Here is a 2,027-nt window from a genome sequence, read left to right as displayed (position 1 = left end):
ACAAGACCTCCAGTGAATGTCTGAAATCATGAATAATAGTGAACTTGATTGCCATTAGTGTTTCACCCACAAGTTTTATGACTTTTTCATCTTAACTAAGAATTTATCACACACTATGGCCACAGTCATTACGGTTTGAGATGTGACAGCAAAACTAGCATGAATTTCTTTTTCCTTTCTTACTACTTCACGGACAGAAGATAAGTTCTTAAGGTAGATCTTAGCAACCTCAGCATAAGATTTGTTTCTTTCCTTAATTTGAGAACTTTCACATTTTCACTTACAGAAAGCACTTAATTGGCTTCCTTTTGGCATATCCAAATAGCCAGCATCACTATTTTTGCACTTTGGGGCCATTATTAAATAAAATAAGGGTTACTTGAACACAAACACTGCAATACCCAGCAGTCAATCTGATAACTCAGGGGTAGGGTAGACCACGTGAATATGCTAGACAAAGGGATGACTCATGTCCCAGTGGAAGGGAGCCAGATTTCACTGTGCTACTCAGAATGGTGCACAGTTTAAAATTTATAAATTATTTCTGGAATTTTTTCATTTAATATTTTCAGACCATAGTTAACTGTGAGTAACTGAAACCCACGGAAAGTGAAAACTGCAGATAAAGCAAGACTACGATAGTGGATAATATATTAAATTAATAATTAACAATTTTGCTATTCTAAAATTCCACACTTACAGTAAATGTGAACATTTCTTCAAAAACTTGGAGGGATTTCCTTGATAGAGTTAAATTTTTAAAAATACATGATAATATATATTAATATTTTGTCATTCTGACTTTAAAAAGTCTGTTTTTTAATCCCTAGATAACAACAAAAAAGCCTTATGAATGAGAACACACAGATATACACAAAAAAGGCAATTTTTCACCTATCCTGTTTCAAGTGAACTCCCCAAAATTATACAATACAAAGTTTACTTTTAAAAATTTTATTAGGCATGAATGAGCTACAAACATTATATGTTATTCTGTATTTCAAATTGAGGAAGCAGAGAAATTCTTCAAATCTTACTATAGTACATTGCTTTTCAGATTGCTTTGCCACATCTCCATACCTACCATGGGTGGGTGGATCTAGGAAACGAACAAGCAAACAAAAACCAGCAATGAATATCACAACAGCAACACGAGAGGAAGAATGAGAAATTTATCCTAGATAGCTATTAGTATAGTAAACCCTCCACAGCTCACCTCCCATATACCAAAGGCAGTCACTGTTAGGAAATTCCAGAAGGGCTGCCCCAACAGCTTCTGCAAACCTATCTGCTATGGCTATCACACTTAGTCCATTCTGATCTTTTCTCCTGCATGGCTTCCACTTACCCAATTCCATGGCCTAAAAAACTATTGTCAACTGTTTATCATGAAACTAACAATGACCATAGAGAGGAAAATATTTTCTCTGGCTTCCATCTCATTTTAAATAATAAATTAAGCATTACTTAAAAAATAAAATATTGGATAATTTCATATGAAAAATTTCATGCACGTCCGTGTGAAGAGACCACCAAAAACAGGCTTTGTGTGAGCAACATGGCTGTTTATTTCACCTGGGTGCAGGCGGGCTGAGTCCGAAAAAAAGTCAGCAAAAGGTGGTGGATTATCATTAGTTCTTATAGGTTTTGGGATAGGCGGTGGAGTTAGGAGCAATGTTTTGCGGGCAGGGGTGGATCTCACAAAGTACATTCTCAAGGGTGGGGAGAATTACAAAGAACCTTCTTAAGGGTGGGGGAGATTACAAAGTACATTGATCAGTTTGGGTGGGGCAGAAACAAATCACAATGGTGGAATGTCATCAGTTAAGGCTATTTTTACTTCTTTTGTGGATCTTGAGTTACTTCAGGCCATCTGGATGCATATGTGCAAGTCATAGGGGATGCGATGGCTTGGCTTGAGCTCAGAGGCCTGACATTCCTGCCTTCTTATATTAATAAGAAAAATAAAACAAAATAGTGTTGAAGTGTTGGGGTGGCAAAAATTTTTGGGGGGTGGTATGGAGAGA

General features: G+C 36.6%; 1 annotated feature.

The window, feature by feature from the left end:
- Window positions 332–626: an enhancer, noted in NCBI's record as "tiled region #7236; HepG2 Activating non-DNase unmatched - State 10:DNaseD, and K562 Activating non-DNase unmatched - State 24:Quies". NCBI's record gives its function as "activates a minimal TATA promoter and a strong SV40 promoter by Sharpr-MPRA in HepG2 and K562 cells {active_cell/tissue: HepG2 | K562}" and the evidence as "EXISTENCE:reporter gene assay evidence [ECO:0000049][PMID:27701403]".

The sequence above is a fragment of the Homo sapiens genome, chromosome 3 (genome assembly GCF_000001405.40).
Source record: "Homo sapiens chromosome 3, GRCh38.p14 Primary Assembly".
Taxonomy (NCBI): domain Eukaryota; kingdom Metazoa; phylum Chordata; class Mammalia; order Primates; family Hominidae; genus Homo; species Homo sapiens.
The sequence above is the reverse complement of the archived record's forward strand: the minus strand, read 5'-3'. Positions and strand labels throughout refer to the sequence as shown.